At 51.5% G+C, this 22,876-nt stretch overlaps 1 protein-coding gene and 2 long non-coding RNA genes across 13 annotated transcripts in view, besides 6 other annotated features; 1 reads left to right on the top strand and 2 right to left on the bottom strand.

Moving 5' to 3' along the window:
- Window positions 19-108: an enhancer, noted in NCBI's record as "active region_818". NCBI's record gives its function as "activates an Ori minimal core promoter by ATAC-STARR-seq in GM12878 lymphoblastoid cells {active_cell/tissue: GM12878}" and the evidence as "EXISTENCE:reporter gene assay evidence [ECO:0000049][PMID:35858748]".
- On the bottom strand, window positions 9,093-10,288 carry LOC101929536 (uncharacterized). Its single transcript, NR_135805.1, has one exon. It is a non-coding gene; the product is annotated as an uncharacterized LOC101929536 (long non-coding RNA).
- Window positions 9,792-10,293: an enhancer, noted in NCBI's record as "H3K4me1 hESC enhancer chr1:40254643-40255144 (GRCh37/hg19 assembly coordinates)". NCBI's record gives its function as "activates a minimal SCP1, AML or CMV promoter by ChIP-STARR-seq in naive H9 embryonic stem cells {active_cell/tissue: H9 hESC(naive)}" and the evidence as "EXISTENCE:reporter gene assay evidence [ECO:0000049][PMID:30033119]".
- Window positions 9,792-10,447: a biological region, named in NCBI's record as "H3K4me1 hESC enhancer GRCh37_chr1:40254643-40255144".
- Window positions 9,848-10,447: a silencer, noted in NCBI's record as "silent region_713". NCBI's record gives its function as "represses an Ori minimal core promoter by ATAC-STARR-seq in GM12878 lymphoblastoid cells {active_cell/tissue: GM12878}" and the evidence as "EXISTENCE:reporter gene assay evidence [ECO:0000049][PMID:35858748]".
- BMP8B (bone morphogenetic protein 8b) overlaps window positions 10,399-22,876 on the top strand; it is a 31,684-nt gene continuing 19,206 nt past the window's right edge. For 10 of the 11 annotated variants that reach the window (XR_946750.3, XR_946748.3, XR_946749.3 and 7 more), the window contains exon 1: window positions 10,399-11,112. Coding sequence is in view for 8 of the 11 variants with exons in the window: in NM_001720.5 (NP_001711.2) it covers window positions 10,779-11,112 (334 nt within the window). In the remaining 3 variants the exon portion in view is untranslated. Of the gene's footprint in view, window positions 11,113-19,278; window positions 19,535-22,876 lie in introns of those variants that run through there. The other variant, XM_024449299.2, reaches the window with a different exon arrangement.
- Window positions 17,840-19,295, bottom strand: BMP8B-AS1 (BMP8B antisense RNA 1). The gene is made up of 2 exons (XR_947220.3): window positions 18,259-19,295; window positions 17,840-18,026 (listed from the first exon to the last, which is right to left on the bottom strand). It is a non-coding gene; the product is annotated as a BMP8B antisense RNA 1 (long non-coding RNA).
- Window positions 20,020-20,520: an enhancer, noted in NCBI's record as "H3K4me1 hESC enhancer chr1:40244416-40244916 (GRCh37/hg19 assembly coordinates)". NCBI's record gives its function as "activates a minimal SCP1, AML or CMV promoter by ChIP-STARR-seq in primed H9 embryonic stem cells {active_cell/tissue: H9 hESC(primed)}" and the evidence as "EXISTENCE:reporter gene assay evidence [ECO:0000049][PMID:30033119]".
- Window positions 22,587-22,646: an enhancer, noted in NCBI's record as "active region_817". NCBI's record gives its function as "activates an Ori minimal core promoter by ATAC-STARR-seq in GM12878 lymphoblastoid cells {active_cell/tissue: GM12878}" and the evidence as "EXISTENCE:reporter gene assay evidence [ECO:0000049][PMID:35858748]".

The raw sequence follows: 22,876 nt of genomic DNA, 5'->3' as shown, positions 1-22,876 counted from the left end.
CAGGAGAGGAAGTGAGGCTCAGAGGTCCAAGCCAGGAGTGGAGGAGCTGCGACTCCAGGCTGCGGTGCCCATGCCCACATCTGCCTCTGGAGGCCCTCTTCCTTTGGAAGATGGTTTTACTCACTCATTGCGTGAGCATGGGCCCTGTGTAATGCTGTTACCCCAGCTCTCTAGGCAGGTACAATTATGATCCCATCCAACACACAAGGAGTCAGAGGCCCAGAGAGGTTCCAGGTCACACGGCCCACGTGGAGCTTTGATGTGAACCCCTGTCTGTGTGACTGCAAAGCAGGTGCTCTTTTTTTTTTTTTTTTTCCCCAGACGGAGTCTTGCTCTGTCACCCAGGCTTGAGTGCAGTGGCACCATCCACTGCAACCTCCTCCTCTAGGGTTCAAGCAATTCTCCTGCCTCACCCTCCCAAGTAGCTGGTGTTACAGGCATGCACCACCATGCCTGGCTAATTTTTGTATTTTTAGTAGAGACGGGGTTTTGCCATGTTGGCCAGGCTGGTCTTGAACTCCTGACCTTGTGATCCCCCCGCCTCGGCCTCCCAAAGTGCTGGGATTACAGATGTGAGCCACCATGCCTGGCCAGAGCAGGTGGTCTTGACTTAACCTTTGCTTCACCCTCAACCATCCACCACCCTTTACCACAGGAGGGGTAGAAGGAATGAATAAAGGCTTCAGGTCACTAGGATGTGTCCATGTGCATGGTTATTGGACTATAAGATGTCAGAGGTGCTCTGTACCTGCGCCTGCACTCTGCTTAGTCCATTCTAGAGAGTGATTTGAGTACAAATGTCAAGGCCGAGCTTGTCTAACCCGAGGCTCACATGCCACATGCAGCCCAGGACAGCTTTGAATGCGGCCCAACACAAATTCAGAAACTTCCTTAAAGACCATGAGGTTTTTTTGCAATTTTTTTCTAAGCTCATCAGCTATCATTAGTGTTAGTGTATTTTATGTGTGGCCCAAGACAATTCTTCTTCCAATGTGGCCAAGGGAAGCCAAAAGATTGGACACCCCTGGTAGGCATTACTCTTGGTCTTTTTTTTTTTTTTTTTTTATAGGGTCTTGCTTTGTCACTCAGGCTGGGGGGCAGTGGCATGATCATAGCTCACCATAATCTTGAACTCCTGGGTTCAAGCGATCCTCCCAGCTCAGCCTCCCTACAGTCAGGTCCCACCATGCCCAGCTAATTAAAAAAATATTTTTTTTTGTAGAGATGGAGCTTCGCTATGTTGCCCAAGCTGTTCTCGAATTCCTGGCCTCAAGTGATCCTCCCACCTCAGCCTTCCAAAGCACTGGGATTACAGCACTTAAAAAAATTATGAGTCAAGCACAGTGGTTGACGCCTGTCATCTCAGCATTTTGGGAGGTTGAGGCAGGAGGATTGCTTGAGCTCAGGAATTCAAGACCAGCCTGGGCAACATAGTAAGACCTCATCTCTACTAAAAATAAAATTAAAAAAAAAATTAGCCAGGCCTGATGGCGTAGCTGTAGTCCCATCAGGAGGCTGAGGCAGGAGGATTGCTTTAGCCTGGGAGATAGAGGCTGCAATAAGCTATGATTGCACTCCAGCCTGGGTGACAGAGTGAGACTCTGTCTCAGAAAAAATTATAGCAAAATATATAATTACAATTTTAACTATTTTGGGGTGTACAGTTCACGGCATTAAGTTCATTCACATTGTCTGCAGCCATCGCCTTGTCCATTTCTAGAACTCTTTCATCTCTCCAAACTGAAACTGTGTATCCATTAAACAGTAAGTCCCCATTCTCCCCTTTCTCTAGCCACTGGCAACCACCATTCTATACTTTCTGTCTCTATGAATATAACTACTTTAAGTACCTCACATGAGTGGAATCATACAATATTTGTCCTTTTGTGTCTGGCTTCTTTTATTTAGTATAATGTCTTCGGGGTTCATCCATGTTGTAGTGAGTGTCAGATTTTCATTTCTTTTTTAAGGCTGAATAATATTCTCTTGTATAGCCATACAATATGTATTTATCCATTCATCTGTTGATGGACATTTAGGCTGTTTCTACCTTTTGGCTACTGTCAAAAGTGCTGCTATGAACATGGATGTGTAAATATTTGTTCTTTTTGATTCCCTCCCTTCCATTCTTGTAAGGCAAATCTATAAAGTATCTATATATAGTATACCCAATGGTGAAACTGCTGGATCTTATAGTAATTCTATATTTAATTTTTTTTTGAGACAGAGTCTCACTCTGTCGCCCAGGCTGGAGTGCAGTGGCACGATCTCAGCTCACTGCAACCACCGCCTCCCAGGTTCAAGTGATTCTCTTGCCTCAGCCTCCCAAGTAGCTGGGATTACAGGCATATGCCACCATGCCCAGCTAATTTTTTTGTATTTTTAGTAGAGATGGGGTTTTGCCACGTTGGCCAGGCTGGTTTCGAACTCCTGACCTCAGGTGATCCACCACCTCAGCCTCCCAAAGTGCTGGGATTACAAGCATGAGTCACTGCACCCGGCCCTATATTTAATTTTTTGAGGAGCTGCCATCCTGTTTTCCACAGCAGCTGCACTATTTTACATTCCCACCAGCAATGCACAAGGGTTCCAATTTCTCCATGTTCTCACCAACACTTGTTACTTTCTGTTTTTTAAAAAAATAATAGCCATTCTAATGATTATGAAGAGGTATCATTGTGGATTTCATTTGCATTTCCCTAATAATTAGTGAGATTAAACATCTTTTTATATGCTTATTGGCCATCTGTAGATCTTTTTTTGGAGGATTTTTTAAGTATTTTGCCTATTTACAACTGAGTTGTTTATTTTATTGTTGTTGAGTTGTATGAGGTTTTAAAATATATATTCTGAAAAAAATAAACATATATATTCTGGATATTAATCACTTATCAGATATATGATTTGCAACTATTTTCTCCCATTCTGTGGGTTGCCTTTCACTCTGTTGATAGTGTCATTTACAAGGCGGGCAGATCACAAGGTCAGGAGATCGAGACCATCCTGGCTAACTCAGTGAAACCCTGTCTCTACTAAAAATACAAAAAAAAAAAAAAAATTAGCTGAGGGTGGTGGCAGGCACCTGTAGTCCCAGCTACTCGGGAGGCTGAGGCAGGAGAATCATTTGAACCTGGGAGGCAGAGGTTGCAGTGAGCCGAGATCACGCCACTGCACTCCAGCCTGGCAAAAGAGCGAGACTCTGTCTCAAAAGAAAAAGAAAACAAAAAATGGGTCCCTAAAAACAGTGGCCTATGTGTGCTTTTCTTAGGCAGCACAAGTTGGAGGAGGCCCTGCTGTTTTGGGGCCAGTTCATGGATGATTTGCAGGCCTTGGTAGACTAGTTGTACAAGTTGAAGCTGCAGCTGGCTGAGAACCAGGCTGTGTGTGGGGACTTTGACCTAGGCATGAACTTCAAGGGTGCCCCTACAATGAGGGGTGGACTCGGCTACATGGAGGGAAGGGCTGCTTGGTTGCATACTTAAGTGCACCTTCTGCTCTGTTAACCCTCTAGGGGTGAAAGGACACCATGAAAGATCCTGTATGCTGCTGGTCAGAGAGGAGGCTCCTTACTCTGTGTGTTTAAACAAATTGTTGCTGGGATTCTGCATTGCTCACAAAGATTTTACCAAAATTGTTTTGATTTGATTCAGATTTGGCAATGTGTAAATTTCACTTTGAGGTTCCCTCCACACCCACCCCTGCCCCACCCCCAATCTATTCTCATTTGGTTCACAAAATACTTTTTTTTTTTTTTTTTGAGACAGAGTTTCACTCAGTCACCCAGGCTGGAGTGCAGTGGTGCAATCTTGGCTCACTGCAACCTCCGCCTCTCGGGTTCAGGCAATTCTCCTGCCTCAGCCTCCCAAGTAGCTGGGACTACAGGCACATGCTACCCTTCCCGACTAATTTTTGTATTTTTAGTAGAGACAGGGTGTCATCATGTTGGCCAGGCTGGTCTCGAACTCCTGACCTCAAGTGATCTTCCTGCCTCAGCCTTCCACAGTGCTGGGATTACAGGTGCATCACAAAATAAATTTAATTTCAGGTAGAAATCTTCAAAAAATACCCATTTCCACTGGTTTCTAAAATAAGTGTGAGAACTCTGAAACCACTTTTAAACCATACACAACAATATTTAGTGTACTCTGGGCCTGTCATGTTGTGCTACATAATGTCCTCCTGTTTCAGTAGGATGCATTCTGATGCAATGAATCCATCTTTATCTCTGCTAATGTTCTTTATGTTGAAGTCTAGTTTACCTGATATTAATATAGCCACTCCAGGCTTATTTCTCCTTTTTTTGCATGATATATCTTTTTCAACTCATTTACTTTCAACCTATCTGTGCTTTTATATTTACAGAACATCTCTTATAGAGAGCATGTCATTTGTTCTTGCCTTTTTTTAATTAACTCATCTGACAACTTCTGACTTTTTTAAAAAACAGGGTCTTGCTGTGTTGCCCAGGCTGGCCTGAACTACTGGCCTTAAGTGATTCTCCCAACTCTCTCTCCCAAGTAGCTGAGATTATAGGCACATGCACCTCAGCCATCTTCTGACTTTTTTTTTTGTTTGTTTTGTTTTTGTTAAGATGGAGTCTTGCTCTGTTGCCCATGCTGGAGTGCAGTGGTGTGATCTTGGCTCACTGCAACCTCCGCCTCCTGGGTTCAAGTGATTCTCCTGTCTCAGCCTCCCAAGTAGCTGGGACTACAAATGCAAGCCACCATGCCCGGCTAATTTTTGTATTTTTTGTAGAGATGGGGTTTCAGGCTGGTCTCGAACTCTTGACTTCCGGTGATCTGCTCCCCCCCGTGGCCTCCCAAAGTGCTGAGATTACAGGAGTGAGCCACCATGCCTGGCCCGTCTTCTGACTTTTTTTTTTTTTTGAGACGGAGTCTCGCTCTGTCGCCCAGGCTGGAGTGCAGTGGCCAGATCTTGGCTCACTGTAAGCTCCGCCTCCCGGGTTCACGCCATTCTCCTGCCTCAGCCTCCTGAGTAGCTGGGACTATAGGCACCCACCACCACGCCCGGCTAATTTTTTGTACTTTAAGTAGAGACGGGGTTTCACCATGTTAGTCAGGATGGTCTCGATCTCCTGACCTCGTGATCCGCGCACCTCGGCCTCCCAAAGTGCTGGGATTACAGGCGTGAGCCACCGCGCCCGGCCCTGGCTTTTAATTGAAGCATTTAGTCTACTAACAGAAGGTGACCTGACCCATTGACTAAAGACTCCCCCATGAAGACAGGACTGCCTTGTTATGTTTATTTGTTTCTTTATGACGTGTAAGCACACCCTGGGAACATGATGAACTGGAGTTTTCCCAGCAGCACCCAGCCAGAAAGGCAAGTGAGACACCCTTTGGGCCCTCAGCAGTCATTTAATGAGGTGTTACGATGCACCAACCTCATGGTGGCCTCTGGAGCTGACAGGCATGACCTAGGACCTCACTATAGGATCCTGTAATATAATTAAAAGGTCCTCAGATCACAAATGCAAAGGTTAAATGTGTCGCTGTTAACATGAGATAATCTCCATTCCTGTAGCATGTTTCTCTTTCTTTCCTTCCTTCTTTTCTTTTCTTGTCCCTCCCTCCCTCCCTCCCCTCCTCCCTTCCTTCCTTCCTCCCTTCCTTCCTTCCTTTTTTTTTTTTGAGACAGAGTCTCACTCTGTCACTCAGGCTGGAGTGCAGAGGCACGATCTCGGCTCACTGCAACCTCCGCCTTCCGGGTTCAAGCAATTCTCCTGGCTCAGCCTTCCAAGTATCTGGGATTACAGGCACCACCACCATGCCCAGCTAGTTTTTGTATTTTTAGTAGATACGGGGTTTCACCATGTTGGCCAGGCTGGTTTCGAACTCCTGCCCTCAGGTGAATTGCCCGCCTCAGCCTCCCAAAGTGCTGGGAGTACAGGCATTAGCCACTGCGCTCAGGCTTTCCTGTAGCATCTTTCTTATGGAAAGCTTTTCTCTGCTTTTTAAAATTGTTTCTTTTCATTTTCTATATGCAGTAGGTATTAGCAGTCATGAATTTAACCTTATGGTTTCAGTCATGAAGATTCATGGATTTGCATTTGTTGCTGATGTACAAGAGAGCCGGTCACACAGCGAAGAGAGTGAGCCCCACTGGCCACTGACTCCTCACTTTAACACAGCTTGGTGCTTCTGTTCTTCATCCCCGTGAAATAATGAGCACTTCTCAATGGAAGCACTTCTTACTGAGTTCATGAAGGTTGCGAGATCCGTTCCTTGAAGCTGTTGAGAGACTCTTGTTTTCAGAGGCTATTTCAGAGAAACAGAGGCTACTCTGTTTCACACATACTTACTGAAACCCTAAATGCAAGCCTCGCACTGGGATCCAAAGGTAAATTAAGATGATGGTCCCTGCCTGCAGAAGCTCTCAGCCTAGTGCAGGGAACAAACATGTGAATACATGCCCTTTTATTTTGTAAAAGGAGTGGTTGAGAGAGTGAGGAAGGAAGAAATGGCTCTGCTCATGAAGGTGAAGAGGGCATCAGGAAAAGGAGGTGTTACTTCAACTGCATCTTAAAGGGAGGTAACACCTGACCAGACAGGGAAAGGGGTTTCCCTTCTTGGTACAGGAAACCACATGTTCAGGTGAACAGAAGTGTCAACAGGAGGACAGGTAGGAGGACCACAAGTATTCCCATGGGACTGCAGCCAAGTATATGGGGTTAGCAGCCAGATAAGACTGTGGAGATTGGCCAGGCGCGGTGGCTCACACCTGTAATCCCAGCACTTTGGGAGGCCAAGGCGGGCGGATCATGAGGTCAGGAGATTGAGACCATCCTGGCTAACACAGTGAAACCCTGTCTCTACTAAAAATGCAAAAAAAAAAAAAAATATATTAGCCAGGCGTGGTGGCGGGCGCCTGTAGTCCCAGCTACTAGGGAGGCTGAGGCAGGAGAATGGCGTGAACCCGGGAGGTGGAGCTTGCAGTGAGCCGAGACTGCGCCACTGCACTGTAGCCTGGGCGACAGAGCAAGACTCCGTCTCAAAAACAAAAACAAAACAAAACAAAAAAACTGTGGAGATGGGTCAGCAGCAGGGGCCAGGTGATGATGCCAGACCACTGGGTCCTGGGCGCTTATCACCTTGTGCCTTGCTGGTCCCCAAGATGTGGTCCTCAAAAAACTAAAAAGCTATAGTCACATGCATTTGGAAGAAGCCAAGTTAAGGCTAAACAGGTTTTTATTTATTTATTTATTTAATTTACTTATTTATTTATTTTTACTGCAGGATTTCTAGAGCTTACAAAGTGCTAAGTGCATGAGGGCTCTACCAAGGGGGAAATATATAGCGCAGTGTGTACTGAACCCCTTTTGCAGGAAAGCCCTCAGAATCCTCACCTGGGGAAATTCTGCTGTAAGCAATGAAAGGCCATGGAAGGATTCAGATTTTCATTTGGAAATATGCATTCTGCGGAATGAGTGAGGGCTGGGTGGGGTGGGTAGTGAGATGAGACATAAGGAGACCAGTGGGGAGGAGGTGCTCCATGAAACACCTGAGTGCAAAGGGGCGTGCACAGGCTCAGGGATTCAAGAGGCATTTGAAGGTAGAATCAATAGACTGAACTGCCCTTGGGAGGGAGGGACGTGTGTCTGCGCCAGGGTTTTGGCTTCTGGCTCTGGTCATGTCTTATCGGTCATTGGATGTAGCTTCTGGCATCTAGCAGGAAGGCCTGCCCTACTAATATATTTGGAGTTGGGTGTGACTGTATGGCGGCACTGAAGCCTCAGTGGATGAGCTCATCACCAGGTCAAGTCTAAGGGGAGAACAGGACTGTGGACAGACCCAGCAGACATCCATGTTTTAGAAGTGGGCAGGGAGGAGTGGTCAGCAAGGGAGCAGGCGTCCTTGAAGCCAGGGGAGGACAGGGTTTCAAAAACAAGAGAGCAGTGTGTAGTAACCCTCCACATGCAAGTTACAACAGCAGAGAGGTTTTCATCTATCAAACCAGCAGAGATTGATTTATTTATGTATTTAACAGTTATATCTAGTGTTGGTAAGGGTGATAGAAAATAAGCACCCTCGTGCTATTGGGGCAACAGATAATATGTATCAAAAACCATAAAAAGTGTATATGCTCTTTGATTCAAATATTCCATCTCTAGACGCCTGTAATCCCAGCACTTTGGGAAGCTGGGGTGGGCAGATCACCTGAGCCCAGGAGTTCAAGACTAGCCTGTCCAACATGGCAAAACCCTGTGTATACTAAAAATACAAAAATTAGCCAGGCATGGTGGTGCACGCCTGTAATCCCAGCTGCTCAGGGGGCTGAGGCACAAAGACCACTTGAGGCGGAGGCTGCAGTGAGCCAAGATCATACCATTGCACTCCAGCCTGGGTGACAGAGCAAGACTCCATCTCAAAAAAAAAAAAAAAAAATCCATCTCTAGAAATTCATCCTAAAGAAATCACCATGGATGTGCACAGATTATTCTACAAGATTGTTCATAACAACATAGTATATAATATAAAAATATAATTATCCCATAACATAAGCTTGATTAAAAAAATTATGATAACAATATGATGAAAAAATACCACGAAGCCAGTAAAAAAAGTGTGCAATAATTAATGGCATAGTGAAATACTGCAATATAACGTGAAGCTAATAAAGCAAATAAGATCCTGTTTTTTGTATGAAAAAATACACATACATGTAAGAAAAAGAGACATCAAATATTACCAGTGATTATCTCTGGAAACAGGGATTTGGGTGATTTTAAAATTTGTTGGGGGTAATATTTTTACTTTTCTGTACTGACCTGGCATAAGTTCCTTAATCGCTGTGTGCCTCAGTTTCCTCATTTGTTAAAAGAGGAGGTTCCAATGGTATGTACCCCCTGATGATGTGCAAAAGTGATTATGAAACTATTTTCAAAAGTTTCTACAAAAGCAAGTTACCTCTGTAATCAGGAAAAAGTAGTTCTTTTAGTGCTCTGAATAGTGTAATAATAATATTTATTTTATTTCATTTTATTATTTACCCTTGCAGAAATTTACTTCTTCGGTAAAAGACAGACTAGGCATGTGCTTAAGGAGCCAGCAAATGACCATTTACATTAATAATTTATTTAATATAGAAATTTTTATTGAAGTGATGACTTCTAAATGTGATTTTTGGGGGCATTATACACTTGCTTCGAGGTTTAATCTTCAATCCACATGGGGGGGCACCATAATCACTGGTGCCCAGGGCCCTCGTCTAGCCCCTGTGAGGCCCTTTGCAGTCCCTCCCTTGCCAGCCCCTCCAGCCTCCGCCATTTGCCCCGTGGGCTCTCCAGGTTCCACTTGAGGAGCTGCCCCCTGCCCCAGCCCAGCTCTACTGCTGTGTGACCTAGCGTAAGTCCCTTAACCGCTGTGTGCCTCAGTTTCCTCATTTGTTAAAAGAGGAGGTTCCAGTGGTAGGTACCCCCTGACGATGTGCAAGCATCACAGAAATGACACAAGACACACACTGAGAACATGCCTCGCGCGTGGCAAGTGCTGACTGTTACCTGCCATTATTAGGCTCCCCCGCCGGGGTCTCAGGGCCTTGGCACAAGCTCTTCCCTCTGCTTGGAGCACTTTCCTCCACTGACCTTTCCTGGCGCTCCAGGTCAACTCCAGGAGCCTTCCCAGTACAGTCTAGGTGCCTTCTCCTTCCGCAGCGCCTGAACCACACAGGAATAAGTAAGGCGAGAGCGCGCCCAGAGAAGAGCAGAGAGTGCAGAAAGGGGCTGAGTTAGTAGAGGCATTTCCGCGGGGATCCTTCTCCTGCCAGGCCTGCACCGGGGCCGTGGCGACTGAGAAGTGCACAGGTGGCTCCCGGGTGCTCCAGAAGGGCCCCAGAGCTCCTGGCCCGGCTAAAGGCAGGAGGCGGGTGCGCGTCTCCCCCGCGAAGCTGGATCAGTACTGGGGGCGCAGGGGGCGCACGCCGCGCAGCGAGGGCTGGCGGGGGCGGCCTGCCTGGGGCGCTGCCCAGGCTCACGCGGGAGCCAGGTGGGGGCGCGGGGAGGAGCAGCTGAGCAGGTGCCGGGAAGGAGGCGCCTGCAGCATGCCATGGCGACCCGCGCACGCGACGGCGGGGCGGCCGGGTGGCACCACTGGCGGGACCGGAAGGGCGCCGCGGCCCTAGGATCTCTGCGCCGAGGCCCGCGGCGGAAGCCACGACGGCCATGACCACGCTGACGCCCAGGCTGCGAGCCCCTCGCCCGGGCCGCCTGCCCACCCGCCACGCCCAGGTAGCACCTCGGGGTCTCCCCACCCGCGACACCGGCCGCAGCCCCGGGCCCCCTCGCAGGCGTGGCCCCCGCTCCCAGGCCCCGCCCCCGCCCCCCCATTGGTCAGTCCCGGGGTGGGGGCGGGCGACGCGGACCGCTGGGCAGGGCAGGGCAGGGACTCGCGGGAACCGCACCAAGCGGGTGGCTGCAGGAGCTCGCCCATCGCCCCTGCGCTGCTCGGACCGCGGCCACAGCCGGACTGGCGGGTACGGCGGCGACAGACGGATTGGCCGAGAGTCCCAGTCCGCAGAGTAGCCCCGGCCTCGAGGCGGTGGCGTCCGCGTCCTCTCGTCCAGGAGCCAGGACAGGTGTCGCGCGGCGGGCGCTCCAGGGACCGCGCTGAGGCCGCGGTCGCCGCCCGTCCCGCCCCGCCCCGCCGCCCGCCGCCCGCCGAGCCCAGCCTCCTTGCCGTCGGGGCGTCCCCAGGCCCTGGGTCGGCCGCGGAGCCGATGCGCGCCCGCTGAGCGCCCCAGCTGAGCGCCCCCGGCCTGCCATGACCGCGCTCCCCGGCCCGCTCTGGCTCCTGGGCCTGGCGCTATGCGCGCTGGGCGGGGGCGGCCCCGGCCTGCGACCCCCGCCCGGCTGTCCCCAGCGACGTCTGGGCGCGCGCGAGCGCCGGGACGTGCAGCGCGAGATCCTGGCGGTGCTCGGGCTGCCTGGGCGGCCCCGGCCCCGCGCGCCACCCGCCGCCTCCCGGCTGCCCGCGTCCGCGCCGCTCTTCATGCTGGACCTGTACCACGCCATGGCCGGCGACGACGACGAGGACGGCGCGCCCGCGGAGCGGCGCCTGGGCCGCGCCGACCTGGTCATGAGCTTCGTTAACATGGGTGAGTGCGGCCGCCCGCGCGGGGACCCTCGGAGTAAGCTGGCTGCAGGGGAGGGGCGCGCATCCGCGGGCTGTGCCGGGCCCTGGCCGAACGGGGAGTCACAGACGGTGGACGCGAACCACAGGGGAGTGGGACCGCCGTGGTTAGGGAAGGTCTAAGGGTCATGGGGGCCCCCTGGGCTGCGGGGTGGTCAGGAGCAGAGTGTGGGGGACTGTGGACTCCCAGGCGCTGCCTTCACCCTGCCCCAAACACACCCAGGAGTAAGAATCAGGTGATGTCTTTGCCCACCTGGGCTGCCCCGGGAAGACAGCCTGGTCCTGGGGAGACAGGTGAGTAAACAGAGGCCGGGATGCTGTCACTGTGATAAGGGCAGTACTGAGGAGAGGGACAAAGTTCAGCGTGGAAACCTGTGGTCACATCGGAGTGACCAGAGCTGAGTCGCGTGCCCTGAGTCCACAGCAGGCTCTTCTCTGTGCGGAGCCTGGGTGGGGTGCGGCTGTCAGGGGGGCGGCTGGGGAAGGAGCAAACTCAGCTCGCTGGGGCAGGGACTGTTGCCTTGTCACCCTGGGCCCAACACCTGGGATGTGATCTGGTATGGGGTGAGTGTCCAGTCCTGTGGAATGGTCCAGTGGGCAGCTGGACCCACTTTGTTCTCCCAGGCAAAGCCCGGCTTTTCCTGTCTGCAAATATCTTGTATCAAACCCTGGAGCTATTTATTCCCTAAGATCTCAGAGATTTTTTTTCCAGTACTAAACTCTTTGGTCTATGGTCATGTAGTTACTATTGGTCAGGTCACCCATCTGCTTTGCCTCCTGTCTGTGGCTAGTGACAGTCTGGGGTCTGGGGAACCAAGGACCACAGATCAGCCCAAAGTCGGGGAGCTGTGGGGCTGAGAGGAGGGAGAGGGTCCCTGGCCCCGGCCATCAGCCTCCCTCCACAGACAGCATCATTAATTCTTCATCCTCCCGACAACCCTGATAACAGCCACGGTCTTCATCCCCATCTCCCAGATGAGGACAGTGAGGCTCAGAGAGGCAGCGCCATGCCTAGGACAGCGCAGCCTCTACGCTGCTGAGCCAGGACAGGCCCAGGAAGCCTGACTGTCCATCCAGGGCTCAAAGAGATGACATTTCTGTTGTCAGGTCAGGCTTTCAAGGTGCAGAGACCTTTCTGAGGAGTCTGGGCTGAGGAAAACAGGGGACTGAGCCGCAGCAGGTTTTGTGGGGCCATCAGCCATTTGCTTCCTACACTAGGACAGAAGAGGGCATGGCCAAGCCTCTGCTTCCCGCAACCCAGAGCTGGTGGTGGAGGCGAGCAGCAGGAGGCAGCCATTCACCATCACTGAGCGCCCAGTGCCAGGGACAGGACTCTAGCCGGTGGGATCTGGATGCTGCCTTTGTAGTTAGAGGACAGGGTGGGGATGTGGGACAGAGGAGACCATCTGTGAAGCTGGGGCTGGGGCTCTGTCATCAGGACAGGCTGACACTGGGCTCAGGACCAAGAAGAGTTGTGGATGGAGTCGTCCAAGAATGTCCCCAGGGAGCCGCCCATCAGAATGCGTCACCACCCAGCCCACATCCGACCTCCCCTGGCATCCCCTGGGTCAAGGCATGCACAGCCTGGTGGGGCTATTGCTATGAATTGGGCAGGGCCTACCCCTCTGTGTGACCTTAGGAAAGTTCCTCACCCTCTCAGCCTTCGTTGCTCCTTGTAAAATGAGGTGCCTGGTGATCTGTCCTCAGGGTTGTTGTGTGATTGGTAGAGGGGCAGGAGTAGAAAGCCTGTGCTGCTCCCCTCAGAGGGTGAACCTGGACCTGGGCACTGTTGGCCCCAGGCCCTCCCAGCTGTGGCCTAGTTCGGAGGTGACAGGAACATCTCCACATGTCTTATACACATGTAAAACCTAGAAATGGATTCTAAAAGCCAATCAAAAAGTGTTTGTACCTGTTTTTAGAATGAAAAGTAGCATGTGAACTTTCACAGCCTTACAATTCCTCATTTAACTCATGTGAGACTGTTTTGCCAGCCCTGTTTCATGGGCTCAGAGAGGTTAAATAGCCAGCCCAGGGCCACACCGCACATCCGGGGTGACATCCACGGCTGTGGATTTCAAATCCCAGCTTCTTCCCACACCAGCTTTGTGCATTTCATGAAGACTTGGGGCCTCCAGCGCTGCGAGATTAACAAGCAGATCATTGTTAGTGGAAGCCCAGGCTGTGGGTGGGCGCAGCCAGCTGTCAGAAAGGCCTTCTTTATTCTGCTGTGCTAACTGCACTAGTAGAACTCTCTCAGTTAGAGTAGCTTTAACTGGTAATTACTGAGGCTGGGTGGGGCGGTGGGGGGGCATGGATTAGACACATACCAGGATGCTCTCCATGTTTGGAGGCCCCTGGAGGTTGGTGGCCCTTCTCCTGCCTCAGCCTCCCGAGTAGCTGAGATTACAGTCATGTGGGCAGAGGCCACCACGGGATCTAATAGCAGGGTCACTGTGGTGTCACCGCCCACACGCAGGCTCCCACACCTGCTCCTGCCGGCTCCACCTCTCCTATCAGCTTCATCTGACTCCTGAATAGCCAGGTCTGGTGCCCGTAGGGCCCAACTCTTGATGGCAGCCTGTGGGACCCAGGGGGCGGGGCTCTCATAGGCCTCCCACCATGGCTCAGGTCTCCGTGCAGAGCAGGTGCTTTAGGAAGCCAAGCCTGCGTCCTGATGTTCAGAGCCTGCACTGGGAGGCCAGGGCTGGGGTCAGAGCCGGGGCCCTGCCTGGCCTGTCATCCATATCAGCCTGTAGACCTGGGCTCTCTTGGGCAGGACAGTGATGGAGCGGTTGGATTCTGTCCCTGGTCTCTCTGTGCTCAGGGAGGGGAGAGCCCTGAGCTGGGAGGCAGGACCCAGGTTCTTGTGCTGCCTGGGCCCACCATTAACTCCTGCATGTCCTGAGCCACGGCCCTTCCCTTCCCTGGGCCTCTGCTTTCTCGTCCATTCTACGGTGATGGCATCAGAAAAGCAAGGTGCCTCCCAGCCCTGACCCTGTGGCTCTGTGGCAGAGGCGCCTTCTCACAACACCGCCATGCCTTGGCCCCAGTGCCTCAGGGCAGCCCGGCCCCTCCTGAGGGAGGAAGGATGGCAGGAAGGACCACCTCTGCACACTCCTTCTGAATCCTTCTCCACCCATCTCAGCAGAGAGGCAGGTGCCCATGTTCCAGATTGAGAAACTGAGGCATAAGCAGGCCTAGCAGGCAGAAGTCCAGCCAGGATCAGAATGCAGGCAGCTTCATTTTTGTCCTGATCCCTTCCTGAACCAGACAGATTTGCTCCTGTGGTCTCCGGTGGCCATGGACAGGGGTGTTGATGAACAGAGCCGTCTGGATTTGGGAGAAGCAGGACTGAGTGGGAATTCGGGACCTGGCCCGGGTCCTGCTCTGCCCTTGCCAGCCGTGTGACCTAGAAGGGTGGCACCATCTCCGTGGGCCCCAGGGCCACTTCCTTTGGTTCTTTACCAGGGACCTCTTTCATTTTCCCATTCATTCATTCAGCAAATAGTTCTGTAGCACCTACCACGGACCAGGCAGAGTTCTAGTTGCTGGGGATATAACAATGAGAGAAGTAAAGTCCCTGCCCTCAGGGAGATGACTTTCTAGTCTAGAGACACATAATACATACATGAGCCCTAAAGGTAATTGTCGGGTGTGCTAGACAGCAACGCCCCATCGGGAAACAGGAGGGGCTGAACAATGGCAGGACAGACAGGGCTAGATTGGGGGTTTCTGACCTGAGACCCACACACAAGGAATTTGCATCCTGACGCCAACACCTGATCTCAGTGTGATCTGGGCTTTCCAGTCAACCTCCCCAAGCCTCAGTTTCCTCCTCTGTAAAATGGAGATACTCATCTTATGGGGCTGTTGTGGGCTTGTGTGAGATGATACCCAGCGATGCCCACGTGCCCAGAACCTCTGCATCTCTTCCTTCATTGGTATCTCACAATTGCCGTCACATCTGTGTTTGAAAGAGAGGAGAGAGAGGCTCAGAGCAGATAGGTGGTTTTCCTAAGGCCACACAGCAGATTGTCCCCCTGCCTCCACATCTTCTGCTCTTCTCCAAAATAGCAGCTGCCTCTCCACACAGCCCAGGGCCTGGCCCACCGTTAAATGCAGTGTGTGCTGCTGAAATGGACTGTGTTGAATGGGAACGTGTGATGTAAACTGAGACTACTGCTTAAAAAATATGTTTTTATTTTCAGAGACAGGGTCTTGCTCTTTCACCCAGACTGGAATGCAGTGGCATGGTCATAGCTCACTGCAACTGCAAACTCCTGGCCTCAAGCAATGTTCTCACCTCAGCCTCCTGAATGGCTAGAACTACAGGTGTGCACCACCATGTCCAACTAATTGCTTCAAATCTTTTGTAGAGGCGGGATCTCATTATATTGCCCAGGCTGGTCTCAAACTCCTGGCCTCATCTGATCCTCCTGCCTCAGCCTCCCAAAGTGCTGGGATTACAGGCATGAACCACTGTGCCCAGCGTTTTCTTTTCTTTCTTTTTTTTAACTGCATACGTTAATGCTCACTGTTTTGCAACTTTGTTGTTTTTCATTTAACAATAAATCTTTTATCCATCTTAAAAGTCAACTATTAGGGTGACTGTATGCCCAAAGGTATTTGTCCTTGCAATAATTGAAGGTGGGTCCCTTTTCCCCAAAGTTCTGTCTGGCCACCAGAATGGTGCACCCTTTCCATCCCTAGTGACTGGTCCTACCCATTTCCGCAGTGTTTTCTCACCCCTGAGTAAATGATTATGACTGCCCTCATTCACAGAGGAGGAAGCTGAGTCTCAAAGAGTGTAAGTGACTGGCCCCGGGTCCTGGATGCACAGACCCACAGGAGCAGATATGAAAGGTAGATCACAGCTGTAGGAGGGTAGGCCCTGGAAGTGGGGCAGCAGAGTGGTGGTTAGTGACCCTGGAGTGGGGCTCACTGGCTTTCAATTCTGAGTCTACTGCTTAAGAGCTATGAGCTGTTGAACAGATCATTTAAAGTCTCGGCATCTCAGTTTCCTCATCTTTAAAACTGGGATAATAATGCCTGTATCCGGCCAGGTGTGGTGGTGTGCGGATCACTTGAGGTCAGGAGTTCAAGACCAGCCTGGCCAACATGGTGAAACCTTGTCTCTACTAAAAATGCAAAAAAAATTAGCCAGGCATGGTGGCGCGGGACTGTAGTCCTAACTACTCAGGCGGCTGAGGCGAGAGAATTGCTGGAACCTGGGAGATGGAGGTTGCCTGGGAGACAGAGCAAGACTCTGTCTAAATAATAATAATAATGCCTGTATCATAATACAATGATTAAATAGGTTAAGGCACATAAAAACCTAGCAAGTGTCTGGCCAGGCACGGAAGCTCACGTCTGTAATCCCAGCACTTTGGGAGGCCAAGCGGGGGCGGATCACCTGAGGTCAGGAGTTAAAGACAAGCCTGGACAACATGGTGAAACCCCGTCTCTACTAAAAATACAAAAATTAGCCGGCTGTGGTGGCAGGCGCCTGTAATCCCAGCTACTTGGGAGGCTGAGGCAGGAGAATTGCTTGAATCCAAGAGGTGGAGGTTGCAGTGAGCCGAGATCGCGCCATTGCACTCCAGCCTGAGCAACAGGAGCGAAATGCCATCTCAAAAAAAAACAAAAACAAAAACAAAGCAAGTGTCTGGCACTGCTCAATAAGTGGCTGTATTATGAGGGAAGGGCCTGCGGATTATGCCCCATCCCCCAGTCATTTACTTAGGGACCTAGAGCAGAGTAGTAAAAAGCATAGCTCCAGAATCTGACCAGGCTGCCTGGGTGAGATCCTCATTCCACCTAGGCATCCTTGTAGTGGATGCTGTGGGGGGCTTCCCAGAGCTTCTCTTCAGCATTGAGTCGCTCGTGACCCAGCTGCCTGGAGTGCCGGCTGCTGACAGCTCACAGGGGAGTCCTTCTCTAGGTTTTTTTTGTTTTTTTTTTTTTTGAGATGGAGTTTTGCTCTTGTCACCCATGCTGGAGTGCAATGGTGCGATCTTGGCTCACTGCAACCTCCTTGGGTTCAAGCAATTCTTCTGTCTCACCCTCCCAAGTAGCTGGGATTACAGGCACCCGCCACCACGCACGGCTAATTTTGTATTTTTAGTAGAGATGGGGTTTCATCATGTTAGTCAGGCTGATCCTGAACTCCTGACCTCAGGTGATCCACCCACCTCAGCCTCCCAAAGTGCTGGGATTACAGGCGAGAGCCACCACGCCCTACCCTTCTCTAGGTATTGATTGACTGGGCCTAAAGAACTGCCCAAGGTTAGGCACCATCCCTGGGGACACCCACCATCCAACAGCTGGTCTATGGCAGTACCAGTGCCCAGCCCCCTTGCCTTAAAGAGAGACAGCTCTAAAGGGCCACCAGCCCCCAGAGCTCCCAGTGTGGTCTCAGTTGTCTGAGGCCTTTGTTGTGGGTGCATCCAAAACTTGCTCCCTTCATTCACTACAAAAAGCAGTAAACTTTCCAGTTTTCCCAGTAAACTTTCCGACCCAGTGTCTGTTGCCCAGAGAGCCTAACCTAAGATACAATTTACACGATTATGGTCTAATTTATTTAATGCTCTGAGCCTCAGTTTCCTCATCTGTAAAATGGGAGAGCTACCTCATTAGATGATTAGGAGTATTAAATGAGTTAATCTGTGTAAAATTATGAAAAGAGTGGCTGGTCAGTGCTCAATAAATGTCAGCTTTATTTGTTTTTAGCCCAAGGCCAGCTGGTTAGTGGCAAGACCAGAAGCAAAAGTTGGTGATTTCCTTTAACTGCTGGCTCTATCTTGAGTAGCAGCCGTTCCTTCTGAACAGTCCTGGACCCTGCACACATCAGGGTTCTGGGGAAGTTGATGGCTGCAAGACCTGGGTGTGGAGAAAGTTGACTCATTCAGGGCTTTAAGAGCAGTCTATGAACACTCCTTAGCAAGCACTGCTGCAAACCTACTGTGTGCTGTTCCTCTTCCTGTTTATCTTGGGGGCTAATAAAAGTATAGCCCCAGCCCAACCCAAAGTCTGCTCATTTACTGAGAAAGAGAAGCCCAAAGACAACTCAATATAAATGATCCCCAAATGGAAGAAATGTCCATTCACCCACCTGGCAAACATGGGTGTGAGGGTTCAACAGTTCAGAAGACCGACAAGATCCTTCTCTCGTTTTCTGGGAGACAAACAAGGCCAAAGGAGAGGAGGCATGGCTCCCGGCTGGAGATGGGGTCTCGCTGTGTCACCCAGGCTGGAGTGCAGTGGCGCGATCACAGCTTGCTGCAGCCTCAACCTCCCAGACTCAAGTGATCCTCCCACCTCAGCCTCCCAAGTAGCTGGGAAGTACAGGTGCCTACCACCATGCCCAGATAATTTTTAAACATTTTTTTATAGAGACGAGGTCTCATGATGTTGCCCAGGCTGGTCTTCAGCTCCTGGGCTCAAGCCATCCATCCACATTGGCCTCCCAAAGTGCTGAGATGACAGGCGTGAGCCACTGCGCCTGGCCTCTTGCATGTTTTTGAAATGCCAGTTCCTGAAGTGAAAATCCCATCATGGCTTTTCCTGCTCAGGAGCTTCTGTGTGTCCCTTCAAGCCAGAATGGAATTCACGTTTCCCCAGCCTGGCATTCAGAGTTCAGCGTTCTAGTCAACTGCACCGCTTGGTGCTCCCTTGACATATCTGCAGCTTGGAGAGGTCGTGGATTAGGAGAAGTGAATGTAGACTTTGGAGTCCAGACAGACTTTGACCCAAATCCCACCTTGGATGCTTCCAGTTGTGGCCTTGTGCAAATCAGTTAACTTCTGGGATCTTTAGTGCTCTCATCTATAACCTGGGATGAATAATGTCCCCCACAGTGTTGTCATGGTGCCGCCTTCACCATGGCCCTCGATGGTCCCACTTCCTGAGATGCACAGAGTTCTGTGTCCCCTCCAACACTGTGCCAGTGCTGGTCTGTGTGACCAATAGAATATGACACTAGTGGTGATAGGTCCCTGCCAGGATTAGTCTATAAAAGACCATGGCTTCCATCTCTCGGATGCCTCGTTCTGGGGGAGGCCATGAGGTGAGCAGCCCTATGGAGAGGGCCACATGGTGAGCAGCTAAAGACAGCGCGTGGAAGTGGATCCGTCAGCCCCAGCTAAGTCTTCAGAGACTGCAGCCCTAGCTGACAGCTTGACTGTGACCTCATAAGAGACCCTGATCCAGACCTACCCAGCTAAGTTCCTGGATTATTAGCCCTAAGAACAATGTGCAACAATATGTGTTTGTTGTTTTAAACTGCTACATTTGCATAATGAGTTACACAGCCACAGACAACTAACACAGTCAGGTTAGCATGAACAGAAAGGACGTACCACGTGTGCCCAGCATGGTGCCTGACACAGGTCAGTGCTTAAAAAGTGTGACCTGGCACAGCATCTCCCGCCTCTCAGCCTTTCCCTGGGTGACTCTTCAGTTCTCTTCCTCAGTTCTTCCACCCCTCTTGAATATGTTTTCAAGGAAAGTTTTCTCTGCCTCCTTCTTCCAAAGCCCTGTATGTGACTGCGACCGTCACTGAAGCACCTGTCCTGCATTGTGTGCACTTCTCTTAGGATTCCAGTCGCTTTCTGTCTATGTGATGCAGGGGCTCACCTAGCCCCTCTTTCTCCTCCTCCCCAGCAACCTCTGAACAACCTGAGAATAGGGACCAAGTGTGACTCTTCCTGGCACCCCCCATGGTGCACCCAGCCCCTGAGTGGCAGGAAATTGAGGGAAAGAGGAACCCAGCAGGAGGCAGCGAGTGCCAAGAGCAGGGAGGAGCCTGGGTCTGGTCAGGTGGGACAGAGTAGGGCCGGCCCTCCCTGTCTGTGTGCGGGCCGACAATGGGTGCCATAGCTCCCTGGGCCCTCCCCTGGAACCCCAAGTCCCCACAGGGCCCTGCCTGGAGGAAGGTGGCTTCACGGGCATTCTCGGGTGTCTGTTGATAGGAGGGCCTTGTTGACGGGTGACCCCCATCCCAATATGTCCCATTGAACTCCAGGGCCACTCATTTCACACTGGCCCCAAGTGTGAACATCCACATCACAGGCCTCTAATCTGACACGGGCCTCTAATCTAACCCTGGAAACCCTCTGTCCCTCCTTGGCCTCAGTTTCCCCATCTCTGCAGGGTTGCCTGAAGGCCTTTCCAGGTCTGACCAAAGAATGTGCCCACCCCCTGCCTGCTGATGGGGGCTCTTCCGGGCTGAGGCACAGGGTGGGGAGGTGCACCCAGCCCCCCTCCTCCCGGAACCTCTTTCCCATAGGCAAGAGAGGATGCGTCACCATGACCACTTCTTTCTGGAAAATTCCCACAGTTCATTCTTTCCCGGGATTTCACTGGAGGAATTGCGTCTTTCTTGCTTACATCTCCTGGGATCTATTCTTGGCCTTGGCGGGCTTGATGTGGAGGCATGTGTGGGTGTTCCCTTTTAATTTGGGGTCCAGAACTGTCTGAGGCCTGGACCGGTAATTATGAGAGCAGCACCATTTATGGAAACAGCCCTTGAAGCAAGCCAGTGATGAGACCCGGCTGGAAATACCTCAGCATGGAGCCCTGGGCTCGCCTTGAGGCGGTGCTGAGATTTCTGGGTGGGAGAAGCCCCTTCAGGACGCAGAACCAACAGGTCATGAGTCCCGCCCTCCCTTGGCCTGCAGAGGCTGTGGGGCCCAAGCCTTCTTTTGGGTCTGAAGTGCCCCTGCCCCACCGCCTTTGCTGCCTGTGGGACCAGCCAGGCAGGCCCAGCCCATGCACCCGGGGCTCTGGGGGAGCCGCTGTCCACCCTCAGGGGCCAGGCCGGGAGAGGAGGCAGGTCCACAGCAACGGGAATGTCGGTGGCTTCTGATGGAGTCACATGGGGACATGGTAGCCACACCCAGACTGGCAGTGATACCCAGCCCAAAGGGCTCTGAGTTCCGGACACTGAGCCGCTGTCCTGGGGACAAGAGACCCTTGGGAAGAAGGGGCCGGGGCACCCCCGCTCTGGGGCCCCGAAACACAGGGGCCGATGAGTTGACGTGCGAGCCTCCCATGTCCACCCACGTGGCTCCGTCCCGGCCCTCCAAGGGCTCGCTGTCCAGAGGAACAGCTGAACCAGAGACAGCAAGCCCTGGCATGGGGGCCGGGAGAGGCTGAAAGCCTGACCTGCCTGGGGTCTGAGGACTGGGAGCCTTCTCAGTCGGACTGAGAGGGACGGGGCCACCCGGGGAGAGCAGCTTCCAGGAGGGACTCTGCGGGAGGCGTCTGCAGGTAGAAGGCACAAGAGGCCGGAGGGACAGATGGCAGGGCCAGCGAAGGGAGGGCCCTGGGACACTCTTCCTGTGGGCCTTTCAGGGCTGGGGAGGGTCTGAGGGGAGGTGGGATGGGTCACAGGCCACAAGATTCTGCTCTGAGCTGGAGGATGAGGGTGTCTTTTGAAGTCCCACTTTTTGGTCAGAAATAAGACAGATTTAGGTTGTCTGGGTGAGACTAAATTGCCCAGAGCACAAAAATAGCCAGAGCCCTTGTTGATGTTGGGCTGAGGGTCGCAGAGTTTGGCATCTGGAAGCCTAGCCTGGAGTGGCAGGCACAGGGCCCCAGATGTGGCCAGCGGAAGCCAACTTCTGCCCACAGGGCCTTTCCTGGAAGCGTGGGGTTGCTTCCGAAGTTTGCTTTATCCAAGGCTGGAGGAGGAGGCTGAGGGTTTCCATCAGCACAGGTTGGTGATTCATGATTGTTTATTTTCCCAGGAGCCACATTAAGGTGGTTTAGAAAGCAAATTCATTTGCTGCTTCCCCAGACAGAAGCTGGTTCAGCGTGAGACCATTTGGGGCAGCTTTTATGATTTTGTAGAAAATAAATATTTAGAGGTGCTTATGGAACCAGGTATAGCTTGGTCTGTTTCCTGTGACCAACGAATTGCTCTCTGCATATGTCTTTTCATATTTTTGCCAATACATCTTTGGAATTCTTGTGTCAAATGTAATTTTGCTAGGTATTGCTAAATTCCTCCTCTACACAGCATTCCTATCAGCAACGCCTGAGAGAATGTTCATGTCTGATCTTAATCTTTTTCTTTCTCAAAGGCCATACGGAGCACCCTATGAAAAGCACCCATTACTCTTGAGCCCATAACCTTTTCTGTTTCCTTCATAGCATTTACAGTAGAACAATAGAAATGACATCCCATATTTTAGTTGCTTTTTGTTTGCATTTTATGTCTTCCGTTGGACCGTAAACTCCCTGTGTGTGGAAAAAGTATCTTGTTTATTGTTGTATTGCCCAGAACAGTGTTGTACACACAGTAAGAACTGAATAAATTTATTTCTAAATTAAACATGATGATCTTATTAGATGAGTGAAAGAATACATTTATTTAGAAAAACTTAATTCAAAGTATTATTTCTGACCAAAAAGTAAGACTTCAAAAGACACCCTTGGGTGCTGTGGGACAAGGCACGTTCTTTCCTTCTCCGCCCTGGGCTGGGATGAGCGGCCACCTCCTCCTGCCCACACACGTCTGGCCCCATCCCCTGCCCCGCACAGCTGTTCGCCTGCCCATGGCCGGACCAGGTCCCCACCACGAGGACAGGAAGTGCTCCCCACATCCGCCTCGGCCCGCACAGCCTGGTGCTTTTACAAACCTGACCGTGGTCACTGAGCCCAGTAACCACAGAGAATTTTTAAAAAGACTCACAAACATATCATTGAAATCTCAGTGCTGGGTTTTG

This window comes from Homo sapiens, chromosome 1 (assembly GCF_000001405.40).
Source record: "Homo sapiens chromosome 1, GRCh38.p14 Primary Assembly".
NCBI classification, from domain to species: domain Eukaryota; kingdom Metazoa; phylum Chordata; class Mammalia; order Primates; family Hominidae; genus Homo; species Homo sapiens.
This window is presented reverse-complemented; position numbering and strand designations above follow the sequence as displayed.